The sequence below is a fragment of the Homo sapiens genome, chromosome 20 (assembly GCF_000001405.40).
Source record: "Homo sapiens chromosome 20, GRCh38.p14 Primary Assembly".
NCBI classification, from domain to species: domain Eukaryota; kingdom Metazoa; phylum Chordata; class Mammalia; order Primates; family Hominidae; genus Homo; species Homo sapiens.
The window spans coordinates 14,854,561-14,868,401 of NC_000020.11; the positions used below are offsets into that span (position 1 = coordinate 14,854,561).

The 13,841-nt window shown below is 36.5% G+C and overlaps 1 protein-coding gene across 3 annotated transcripts in view, besides 1 other annotated feature; it reads left to right on the top strand.

Annotated features, from left to right (window-relative positions):
• The window catches only part of MACROD2 (mono-ADP ribosylhydrolase 2), a 2,057,682-nt gene that overhangs the window by 859,045 nt on the left and 1,184,796 nt on the right, over window positions 1-13,841 (top strand). The window lies entirely within an intron of this gene.
• Window positions 5,763-6,382: an enhancer, noted in NCBI's record as "OCT4-NANOG hESC enhancer chr20:14840969-14841588 (GRCh37/hg19 assembly coordinates)". NCBI's record gives its function as "activates a minimal SCP1, AML or CMV promoter by ChIP-STARR-seq in naive H9 embryonic stem cells {active_cell/tissue: H9 hESC(naive)}" and the evidence as "EXISTENCE:reporter gene assay evidence [ECO:0000049][PMID:30033119]".

Genomic DNA, 13,841 nt, shown 5'->3' on the forward strand with positions numbered 1-13,841 from the left:
AATGCAAATAAAATAGATTATATTTTACACTACAAAGTTCATTAAAAAACAAAAACAAAATCCTTAAGCTTGTCACTCAAAAGTAAACATCTGTATCCAATGCAGGAAAGAATGCAGGTTTCGTGGGGACTAAAACAACACTAAGGTGAGCTCTCTTTAAGAAAAAGACAAATGGGCCGGGCACGATGGCTCACGCCTATAATCCTAGCACTTTGGGAGGCCGAGGCGGGTGGATCACAAGGCCAGGAGATCGAGACCATCCTGGCTAACACGGTGAAACCCCATCTCTACTAAAATTACAGAAAATTAGCCGGGTGTGGTGGTGGACGCCTGTAGTCCCAGCTACTCGGGAGGCTGAGGCAGGAGAATGGCGTGAACCCGGCAGACGGAGCTTGCAGTGAGCCGAGATCGCACCACTGCACTCCAGCCTGGGCGACAGAATGAGACTCCGTCTCAAAAAAAAAGACAAATGTACAATATAAAATTAAGTATAAAGTGGTTATTTAAATTCAGTCTTTCCTGTAAGGTGATGGAATTTTCAAAAAGTATTAATAGTTGAGAAAGGTTTTTCTCCATTTTATAACTCTCGATTGATAATAACGTGTACATTTTTAGAATTGTGGTTAAACTTGGGAAGACTTCTTTAGGCTTCTTTCCCGATGAACTGCAAGATTTTACAGCATCTCAAAATTTCTGGTGCAGGGACTAATCTTAAATACTTTGGAACTGGCTGTCTTCATTAACTAGCTTGTTACCATAGATTTCTCACATTTGCTAATTAAAAAAATATGACCATATGAACACATTGCCAGGACCCCATCCAAGTCCTTAAAAGGGACCTGGCGGGGGAAGGTCCCTGAAGCTTAAGCTCCATTGTTTCATGGTAAATTTATCTCTGATCTGACAGCATCATAATTTTCCACTGAATCTGTCCAAACAGTATTATACTCAATAGTCCAACAAAACAACATAACCTTTCATACTTAATACAATAAGTCAATTGGGGAAGAATTCAGAATTTTAGTGATCCTACCAAGTTTTTTTTTTTTTTTTTTTTTTTTTTTTTTAATAAGGCACAGCTCAATTCTTATCTCTTGGTTTGACTGGCATACAATGGCTTATTGTAAGACTATTACGTTAATATCTTTGTATCTTTTACAAGCTTTAATTTACCCCTGATAGCATGAAACGAGACTAAATTCTCATATAAGAACATGAAAACATTTTTAAAGATGTTATCTCTTATGGTATGTCTTATAGTCCACTGACTAGATTAGTTGTAGGCATCTAAAATAACAAGTAATCTCAACAGATAGTATATAGTTAAATAGAAATATCGTATTTCTAAGCAATTACCTTGTAAAGAGAACCCTTAACATTTTAAAATGTTGTTATTTCTAAGCCTAAAATAAAATGCAGCTTGTTATTTAAAAGATTTCAGAAGAGATATAAAGATCCCATTGCACTTTACATGGCTTTGTGTTAAATTTATCAAGATCCATTATATTACATGAAACATACTTAGTTTCATTAAAGATGCTTGAGCCTCTCTCTTTTTTATGCTTCCTGCCCCCTCTATGTACACAAATTCAGCAACCTAATCATGTTGCCTTTGATCAAATTTTATTTGTATTTTTCCCCAGTAATGCTGTCTGGTGGCAGTTAAATAGAATTTAATTAAAATAAATATTCACATGCTTTAATAGAGATTAATGATCTGATTTGACTTAGTAAAATTTGGCAAAAAGTCTAGACGCTGTAAGATATACCTATATTACTTGACTTGGATAAAGGTTTAATAAAACACAGCCAGCATTCAAAAAAAGGGAGAAATGGGGAAATCCAGTTATAAAAGCTATCTGAGCATTTAGCTAGAACTATGCATACACAAACACGCCCTATTGAATTTGTGTCCACAATAAAAATTGGGCTGTTTCTTGTTTTTCTATTTTATTACAACCATAAAATGAAAGTGTGAATAACAAGGCAATCCACTTGTTAAGTGGCAATTTGGATTGACAAGCTATTTTCCCAAATTTAATTTCTGGATCTGTACTTCTCAGCCTTTAATGTGAACATGAATAACCCAGGGGTGGTGTGAAAATACAGATTCAGATTCAGCAGGTTTTGGACAAAGCCCAAGATACTGTGTTCTAACAAGATCCCAGGTAGTGTCCATGCTGCTGGTGTGAGGACTGCACCTTGAGCAGCAAGGTCCTAGACAGTGAAGTGAAGAGACTAGATTTGGGATGGTTGCCGCCACCATCATCACCACAATTGTATGGATAATAATATGTAAATGACCCCACCTCTCAAATATACAGTCCTTTCACATATTTCCATCATCTCATTTTGGTCTTCACAATATATAATGTCACATGCGTATCTCAGCCTGAGTGCCACTGCTTGTAAAGCCAATTAATTACATAAGAATATTAAATTTCAGAGTCTTAACCCATATAGTCCAGCATAAACAAAGCATAGCTAGGTTTATCTTTCCAAAGGGTATTCTCCAAATCTTGTTATTTTCTCACTCAAGATTCATCCAGTGGAATATCTCCTCTGCTCCCCAATCCCATAAACCGTTATCCCTATTCTCTCTCTGTTCTCCAAGGCTGATCATCTCACTGTCCTCCACACAGATTAGTTTTATTTATGAATCCAAATTCTGCACATGCAGTTGCCTGACCAAGAATGCTCCCACTTATATCTCCTGCTCTTCATGAAATCTGGTAAACTACTTCCTGCACACACAGGCGTTGAGGGGCCTGGCCCCTTATCATCTGACAGACCTGAACAAGGTGAAGACACTCTAGAGCTGTTGGAATTGTTCTCATGTATGCTGGGAGATATTTTTTAGCTTCCTTATGTGCTGCATTTTAAAACACCCTAACATTTGTGCCCATTAACTCCCAAGCCCTGTTTCTTTTAGATAATGTATCAAGCAAATTTCTATAGTTGAAGTTCTGAAGTGTGACAAGGGAGCCCTGCCTTAGCACACATGTCCAGATGTTGACACTACAAGTTATAAGCAGCCTTCATTTACAAAATTCAGACTTAAAAGCCACGAAGTGAATAGGTAATTAATGCGGAAAGTGGCAAGATTTGATTTAAACAGAAGGAGCCATTAGACAATTAAATACTAATTTAAAGGAATTCTCACATTAAGTTCAATAAAATTAAACATTAATAATGAACAATTAATACCTTTGTGGAGTTATTTAGTCAATAGGGAACTGTGCTTTTTTTGTTTGTTTTGTTTTGTTTTGTTTTGTTTGAGACAAAGTCTCACTCTTGTCGCCCAGGCTGGAGTACAGTGGTGCGATCTCGGCTCTCTGCAACCTCCGCCTCCCGGGTTCAAGCGATTCTCCTGCCTCAGCCTCCCGAGTAGCTGGGATTACAGGCGCCTGCCACCACGCATGGCTAATTTTTGTATTTTTAGTAGAGACTGGGTTTCACCATGTTGGCCAGGCTGGTCTCATACTCCTGATCTCAGGTGATCCGCCTGCCTCCGCCCTCCAAAGTGCTGGGATTACAGGCGTGAGCCACAGTGCCTGGCCGAGGAATGTTTTATATAATAGTCCCACTTGTAGGATATTTGTTAGAAAGAGAGTCACATGATACATTTTTATCACTCTTATCTGCTACTTAGAGATTTGGCACCTATAGCAAGGTGATAAATACGCCCCAAGGGTGCAACTGGAAAATGTGGTTAACCCGATGCAGGAGTCTGAGTGGAACTCTGAACAGGATGAGACAAGCCGGCAGTGACCTGTTGAGCCCTTGGACCCCAGAATTTCTCGGGTTATTGTTTCTCCGAACAGCCACTCAGAAGAGATTCTTTGAGTTGATGCAAAAATCTCAAAACTTACTGTGTGACTTTGTGGTAGAAAAGAAAAAATGCAATTTGGATCCAGATTACAAACTTGATTGTGAAAAACAAAAACAAAAACAGATAGTCCTTATGATTTTGGAATGATACAGTTAAGGGTGGTGTAGGAGATCAAATAAATTATCCTTTAACATCCAGACTATAAGATTTTGACTTCTACCTACCCAAAGCACTTGGGTCAGTATACGTTTTAGTGCACTGATGCATCCACTTGCCCGTGTGAATGCATTAAGGACAGGATATCGTATTCTTCTAAGCAAAAAGATTGCAGCATACTCTACGCACAGCACTGGGTAGAAATCCCACTATTCCACTTCGTAGCAATGCGACTTTAAACATGTTTTCAAACCTGTGTGAGCCTTAGTTCATCTGTCTGTAAAATGGTGATAATAGTAGTACTCACCTCAAAGGTTGTTGTAAGGATTACATGAGTAAAGTGAAAGTTTTGATTTAGGGGAAAAGAGGCAGAACATGAAGTACTAATTTAAAGAAATATTCAGGTAAAGCCTATGAGATTAAGTAGTCACGAATGGTTAATACTTCCATGCAGTGCCATCTAATAGGGCTTCACTATGATGATGCAAAGGCATGAGAATGATATAATGGACTCTGGGGACTCAAGGGGAAGGTTGGGAGGGGGGTGAGCGGTAAAAGACTACATATTAGGTGTAGTATATCCTGCTTAGGTGATGGCTGTGGTGCACTAAAATCTCAGAAATTACCACTAAAGAACCTATCCGTGTAACCAAAACCACCTGTACCCCAAAAACTATTGAAATTAAATAAATAAATAAATAGGGTTCACTGCCAAGCAAATAGAAAGCATTCTATAAATGTTAATTATAGAAAGTGTTCTATTTAAGTGTTAATTATTATAATAATCATGATTGCTGGTGTGGAATTAAGAAAAAGGCAAGGGCTGCATCTTTAGAAATGCTTTAATTCATGTAAAGTGCTTAAAACAGTGCCTGTGTGCATGTGTGCTTCATAAATGCTAGTCGTTGTTATTATAAGAGTTACTATGATCATGCTAGTGCTCATCCTTACCTGACTTCTGGAGTACCCATCATATTCAATATTCCAAAAGATAAACACAATACTATTTGTTGGATATTTATCTTTTAAGGCAACTATTAAACCATTGGAATGGTGATTTTCTGAGAGATTCTTCTTTTTTAAACCATTGACAACTTTATTCTGCTATTGAGATTTTTTTTCAGAGCCAACATTTCTTTCATTTATAATTCTACTTTGGAAATGCAAATGTTATCCATTTTTCCAATGCATAGTTTCAACTTACTAGTTAGCTCTGTAAATATCATTTATGAGACTGACCCATGTTAGATCTTTGCTATGGTCTGTGGTTTGCAATAATTGTCATTCTCAGTTCCCTTAAGTACTAAATAGGAGAAAAGACAGTAGAATGTTAAATCAGGACAGGGGTCTTTGGAGGTCACTCTGTCCAGCATCCTGATTTTTTAGATAAGGAGACATGACTTGTCCAGTGTCACCTAGCAGCTCAGAGGCAAATCCAGGACAACATTCTTAAAGGTCATACATTGACCCTCTGTTAAATAAGTGAACACATAAGTATATCCATTAATTTCAGATTGTTTTAAGAATAAAAATCAAAGTTATATAAGGTTCCTGAATAAATCTCATAGCAGGAGGGAGACCATGTGATAAAACCTTCAAAAAAATGGAATATATTGTCTGGTTGCTTCCTGAATTGTACAGGTTACTATTTCATTTCTGAATATGGCCTCAAATAAATTGAAAAGTACATCCCTTAAATCCTTGTCAAGTGCAAGGTCTGTGTCATAAATGCTTTCAATATTGAGGGGGAACAGGACAAAAATTTAAGGAAAAGAATTTATGCAAAAGATTGAATCAATGCTTTTTTTGGATAAGCAAAGCAATCTGTGTGATAATTCTACTTTCCTCCTCCCCTTTGTGAAGCTGGGTGGGGGTGGGAGGATTAGCAAGAAGGGAGGGGCCTAATTTATGGCGAGAGTGAGAACTCTTTTCAAGCCTGTGGGCAGAAAACACCGCTGCACCTCCCTCCCGGCTGGAACCTGCTCTCTGTGATCTGGGACTCCTCCGGGTCTCTGTTTGCCTAATTGCAACTTGTGCTTATGCCCTCCAGTTCTCACTGGCCCCTTTGATGCTTTTCAGCAAGTCCTCTGAAAGCAGCAGGACAAAATGGGAAGGTAAGCAATCCTTTCACATAAAAGAGGGCAGCAAAACCCAGGTGGAGGTCCCTGCTGAGATGCTCCCTTCCAAGGCTGTGACCACACAGCCTAAGCAAACACTGTGACTAGTGCCAGCAAATGAAATTTACAGCCCTCTTAACCTGCAAGCCACAGCCAGCATCTCACTCCACTCTCCAAAATAAATTCAACGTGGCTATTTTAGAAAACATACTTATCCCAGGTTTTCCTTTTGGGCATCTAAGGACTGAATTAGATGGTCTCCATCTCTAACTACATCCCCATTCTGGAGACTTTAAAAAAAAAAAATTGCTTTGTTTATTTATGTGTTCATCTCATGTTTATCAGTTCAGCAGTTCACAGTTTTTATTCTGTTATATAACAAAGGAGCCTAACAAAGGATCACAATAGGAAAAATAATTTACCCCACATGGTTACAATGAAGAGAATTTAATTAAAGGAATTGTTACAAAGTGTGGGCAGCATTGAGGGAACTGACACAAGATGTTGAGCCACTCAAAGACTAGCAACTGGTGGAAGCCGTTACTACCCACTTAGGCCTACCTAAATGGGCAATGGGAAGATAATGTTAATGGAGCCCAGTGAGCTCTAGAGCCTCGGAGGAAGGGCATCCTGCAGAGATGTTGTTCTCAGTCTTGTCTACTCATTGGAATATCAGGGAAACATACTAACAGCTGGGTTCCACGTCCTAGAGATTTTGACGTAATGACTTTTTTTTGTGGTCATCAAGACACAGTCATAGAAAGACACAGTCACTGACTAAGAGACAGTGGCAAAGCTAGGAACAAACAGGAAAGAAATACCCTGACCTTCCTCTCCTACTCTCTGATATCCTGCTGATGCCTCCAATTAGAAGCCAGACTATGAGGGAGCTGGGGGAATGCACTCTGCATGGATCAACCTCCTGTAGTCTATGTAGTGGGGAAAATGGGTGAATAACCAGCACAGAGCTCACAATAAACCCCACAAACAGCCTCTGTCCCTCCCACACACAACCCCAGGAATTAGAAGGAAGGGCAGACTGGCACTTTCTCATTAAGGTAACTCACTCATGCCATCTTGGCATTGAGCTGGGCACTTTTAGGTGGAATGACCTCCCGAAGGGCTAACCCCATCTGGCACCTCTTGACAACGTTCCTTCTTAATATCAGTGGCTCTCCTGCTGCTGGCCAAGCAGGACCCCAAGGTCCACTGGGATGTACATACTTATGGTATTATGCTCTGCAATACTTGTGGGGGCTGTGGAATGCACACTTCCAAAGTGAAATAGGACATTGGAGGTTTTATATATAAATATATATATATATATTTATATATATATTTATATATATATATTTATATATATTTATATATATTTATATATATATTTATATATATATAAATATATATAAATATATAAATATATATAAATATATATTTATACATAAATATATAAATATATAATATATATAAATATATATTATACATAAATATATAAATATATATAAATATATATAAATATATATTTATACATAAATATATAAATATATATATATATAAATATATATAAATATATATTTATATATTAATATATATAAATATATTACTATGTATATTTATATATATTTATATAAATATATATAAATATATGTAAATATATATATAAAAATATATATTAATATATAAAAATATATATATAAATATATATAAATATATATATAAATATATATAAATATATATATATAAATATATATAAATATATATATAAATATATATAAATATATATATAAATATATATAAATATATATATATAAATATATATAAATATATATATAAATATATATAAATATATATATAAATATAAATATATATAAATATATAAAAATATATATATAAATATAAATATATATAAATATATATGTATAAATATATATATAAATATAAATATATATAAATATATATATATAAATATATATATAAATATATATATATAAATATATATATAAATATATATAAATATATATATAAATATATATAAATATATATATATATATTTTTTTTTAATAGAGAGGATGAAGACCAAAGCAGTGAGTTCCACCTAAGCTGGCCCTTGCCTTTTGTCTAACAGGAAACCCAGTCCTTCCTAATGGGCACAGAATTTTCAGAGAAGAGAGCAGAAGTTGAGTTGGCATACCTACTGTAGTGAGGGATTTTGAACAATGAGCTGTACATTCCTATATGGGAGCCAAACTTTTAGTTAAATAGTAATACAAAAATGCTGATGTGGATGCCACGGCTTCCTCCTTTCACACAGAAGATGGGCAGTGACTACACATTTAGGTTCACCTTGCATGAAGCCACGCTATAGTTTCTAATAAGGTATTATTAGTATTCACTAGCCATTCTCCAAGGGTTGGCTTCAAATGAGATCAGTAAAGCAGAAGCAAATCACCCACGGGTTCTTTCACAGTTTCTTTCACCCTAAGCCTCTCATTTCACTAGACAACTGTAGGAAGAAAAACGAGATCCCTGAAGGGCAGCAACTTTTCATAAACTGCACTTGCAGTTTTGCCAATGCACATATCTGTGGGCTCATTGCACAGGCAGCGCTTATATCTATGGGCACATTTCACATTGTAGATTTCTTGTCCTTTCTGATTTTCTCCCCGATCACACTGATACAGGCCACTTCCAGTGCCTCTGTAAAGCTCCAAGGGGTAAAGGAGGGCAGGGGTGAGGAGTAAAGGAACGATTCTTACAGGTGTTGTGAACACGACTATTTTATATCAAATGCTTCTAATTGAATAGTTTAACTTAAAAACATGTATCACAAATACAGTTTGACCAACTGTAACAATATCAAAGCATATTGAACAGGAAGTGAAAGTCTTTGGGTGTGGATAGAGATTTCCAGAAAAATATAGTTACATAAATGTGAGTTTCCAAATTGTAAAGAAGAAAAAAGACATATCTGGCTTAATATATATAACATTAATATCATGCATAGAGATTCTATTAATAACATTTGTCAGCCACTATTGCTAAGAGCTTTACATCCATTTTATCCTCACATCAATACTATTAAAGAGGAACTATTATTATCTTCATACGATAGATGAAAAAACAAAGGCTGTAAGAGTTTAAGAAACTTGTCCAAAATCATGTAGCTAGAAAGCGGCCAAGCCAGGATTCAGACCTTGGTTAACCCACTTACAAACTCTAAACTCACTTCTCCATTGTTAAACTTGACTAGTGCATTGGCTTACAATGAAGTTTGCCATATTCTTCCCTCAAATCTGTATTTTTAATAAGTTGCTAGGTGATTTTTATGGTCAGGAGAAGTGGGGCCATACTACATGATGTAGGCTATTTCCTGAGTATAGATAATTTCTTTCTTTTCCCTTAGGTGTCCATTTTCTAAAATGTGGATGAGAACACTCTCTATGTGTCCTGCAAAATTTAAAAAGTTTCCATTTTAAAATATGTTTTATAAATACTAAATAACATGTCCTTTTCTTGCTGCCTAAGACATGATTATTGGTATGAAAATGCTATGAGAAGTCCTATAGTAAAGACATTTTTGTCCAGAGAATCTGACTTTTGTCTTTCTCCAGAGAAAGCAACCTGACTTTTGTCTTTTACCAAATAATATCTGTTTGTGTATCCTTCAGTTGTGCCCTTTGGAGAGGGCTATTTCTCCATGTAACTTCATGCAGTTACAAGTCCTATGATAGCTTTATATGGATTTATAAATCAGTAAATTTTTTTATACTGTAAAACTTTAATTTTAAGATTTCAATGTTTTTATTCATTTTGAACATATAGGGTAATAATATCTTCTGAAGCCAGGCAAATCTACTATTAAATTTTGCTTTCTATAAAAACATAGTTGTTAGATAACTAATACTGTGCGAACAAATTTCTTTTCCCTATAGAGAAATAGTGAGTGTTGAACCGACGGACCTTGTCTTTAGAATAAAAAGACTTATAAACACTTGTAGGCCAGCTCCATGAGAATATGCCAGCTGGAGGAATTTTAGTGCTTCTAAAGATAACTGAGAAAGCAGTGGCTCTGAAGGTTACCTTTTTCTGCTAATGGATGTTTAGATCTAAAATCCCAGTTTGCTTTAAAAAAAACAGTAGTATGTTAAGAAGGTTTCTAGACCTGTGCTATCAGTGTCAATGTAAGTCTTATAAGTTCCCTATGAGAATGTTAAATCACAAGGGCTTAGGGTATATAGGAGTTAAGTGATGCTTTCAGTTGATGTTGAATTTCATGGTGACTCCAGAGTCACATAATATAGGAGCTTCCAAGCTTGACAAATTGCTCATATATACGTAGGCAGAAGTGGCTGATCACTACAGTGCTGGTCCTGGGCCTGTTTGGTTTGTGTCCATTCTTGTCTTTCCCCTACTATGCTGTATCACAGGGGAACATACCTCCCACAGGCTGCATTTCCCAGCCTCCCATGTCTGACTGCTAACAGTTGGGTCAATGGTAGGCATTGTCAGGAGATTAGAGGGCAGAAGAAAGGAGAAGCCAGGGAATTTCTGCCTTGGCAACGTCTCTGCCTCCATGATGCTATCTCCTGCCAGAGAAGCCTACCAAGGTTCCAGCTTACTCCATGTAACCCTGGTCCCTGTGCTCTGGTGATGCTACCTCTTCTGTGTGCCCTTTGTGGTTTCCTGCCTTTGGTAATCCCTAGGTTGACTCACTGCTACTTATTTGGCTTTTTTTTTTCTCTCCTATTACCTATAAACCAACACCCTGTGTTAAATTCCCTTAAGTTACTCATTGGTTTGTGTTCTCCTGGTTGAACCCTGATTAATGAAATTTCCATTTAAATACCAAACGTTTCCTGGAGTTCGTTATTCTAGTGGAATAACAAACAACCAGCTCCATGAATTGATGGCTTTTCAGAATTTATTGTCTCCACAATATTTGTTTCAAATCCTCTTTTAATAATCACTATTTTAAAACTTAATTACTACTACTATTGATAATAATAAATGTACCCTTAAATGTATTATATACCAGATTTGGATTTGCATCTGTGTGTCATATGCTCTTAGTTCAACTCTTTCTTTATTGCTCACCTGAAATAAAGCTTCTTTTGCCAGTTCTATTTAATTAAAGATTATCCTGTGATGAGAATGCAAGCCTAGGTTCTGCCTTGATTTATATGGCACTGCTTTTTCTTCAAACACTAAGTGATTTGTAGCAAGTTCTCAAAAAGATGTGCTTGCAACTTTCATTTTCTAAGGAACTGGAAGGCAGCCATAATTTTCTCTTTGAAAGTTCCACCTCTGTTAGAGTATGTATAGAGGTCAAGTTCCAAAAATAGCTTCATAATGTCTGACTCCCCTTTAATGCAGTTTGATTAATCTTTGTGTAGGATTCCTGGCAAATGATAGGCACAAAATGACTATATATGAAATGAATAAATGAATGAACAAATAAGTGAATATAGCAACTGTCTCTCCATAGTTATGCATACAATTAGCTATTTTTTGACTCAAAATTAACCAGGAAAAACTTAAGTTATCCTTCCACAAGGTGAACTTAACTGGATGTGTCTTGGTTTGAAATACCAGCAACCAGCTGCATACTGTAGGAGCTATCAGAGCAAAACTCAGGTGTTGACACTAAAGATTAATGAACCACCTTTAGTTAATTGATCACATCCAAAGTGCACTCCCTTCAGCCTTTTGTCTGTCAGTTGGCAGAGGGTCCAGCAGGTAGACACACTCCATTGCTCACTGAAATTAAAATTTAGGTAATTTAACCTTCTCAATGCTATAGATGATGATTTTTTTAAGTTGCAGTGGAAACAACAGAGCAATTTCTGGGTGAGTAGGTCTTCTTGGTGATTCATAATTTAGTAGATGACATGTTCAAATTTATTAAGTTGGCCTGAGCATAAAATTGTCCAGGAGAACAACAGTTAATCTACAATGCTGCAGAGGTATCTTTCAGGAACAATACAATCCCCACTACTATTACATATTGGGCTTTTTAATTTTAGGCTTGCAGGTAAAGAGTGAGCTTTTCAGTGTTTGCTTTTCAATGATATACACGTGCAGGAGTAACAATTCTAGTTTTTGAATGTGGGTAGGAAGGCATGCCTGAGTGTTTATCCGGGGAGTAAGCAATTTTGTACATAGAATGTAAGTTGGATAAATATGCATTTGCTTTAGGTTAAGGTGTTAATGCAACCTTGTCAAGAAGAATAAATCTGAAAAGTGGTTAAATCAAAGCTATTTGATTTTAAAGAATAAAAGTACCATCTTTCAAACGATATTATCTTTGTCTAACAGTAATTTTCCCCCCTGCCTGTAATTTCAGAGCTCTGTGATGTGGAAGCTGTCAATGTTACGTAACTGAGAGCAATCTGACTTCTGTCATTGTGTGCATTCCTCAAGGATCGTGTTTAGGTGGCCCTACTTGATGCTTTTCTAAAAAGCCCCATTCTACTTCTAAGTAAATACTGAGTTCCTGGAGAAACCTGATGAAAGAAGGCATAATTTTGATAGCTGCTTTGTAAATAGTAGGAATAAGTATGTGGCATTATTTTCTTTGAGGGAGAAGAAACTTTTTATTTGGGTGCGATTCATATGAGAACATACTTACTGTAGATTTTGAACCTTGATACTGGCAGTGTGGATTGGCCTGTAAATTGATGCTTTTGTTTCTGGCTGAGGAACTGCAAATATGCCAGGTGACATTCTCTTTGAAGTGTAAATGTTGTTTCAGTTGAATTTTTTTTCTAGTACACTTGGAAAGTGAGTTTCATGCCTATGAAAGAGTCTGGATTCTAATAAACATTATTCCTAGACACAGGAAAGTTGCTATAAGCGATGGGATTTTGAATTCTACATGGATTCCTGTTTAACAGGTGACTTCACACCTTAACCTTGACCAGCCTTCTATCTACATCTGCCATGTTGATTTCTTTTGTATATTCATTTCTTGTTACTTCCAGCGGTAATTACATTTCTAGGATATATTGGTGTATTTTGGTTGTCTCCAAGTCCCCTTGGATTCTGAGGCCACCATTGTCCTTTCTAGACAAATGGAATGGCTTAAGCCTCCACACAGTGCACTTTGGGAGGTCCTGGATTGTACTTGACATTTCCAAGGTGTCTAAAAAGTCTGATATTGTGGTGTCACCTCTTTCTCCAAATTCCTGCTCCCAGTTTCATCTTTAATGACCGATGGTCACTTTCTGCCCTATCTTGCACCATCTGCCTTTAAGACACCCCTAAGGCTTATACCTCAATCACAACTGATTTTTCCTCAAAGTTCAGTGAAGGAGAGGGCAATAGAGTGAAGAATTTGTTGCTGTCATCCAAATATAAAACAGGAAACACATTATATTTTAATATAAAAGCATTATTCCTAGAAACATATTAGCCATTCTCTGCCAAAAGGACATTATCACTGACCTTATACTTTATTAGGCCCCCAAACCCAACCATCTTGAGAGGGTTCCATCTCTCTCCCATATCTTTTTCTTTTTTCTTTCTTTCTTTTTTTTTTTAAGAGACAAGTTCTCTCTTTATTGCCCAGGCTGGAATACAGTGGTGCAATCATGGTTCACTGCAGCCTTGAACTCCTTGGTTCAAGGGATCCTCCTGCCTCAGCCTTTTGAGTAGCTGGGACTGCAGGTGTGTGCCACCACACCTGGCTAATGTTTCTTATTTTTTGTGGAGACAGAATCTCAAACTCTGGAGCTCAA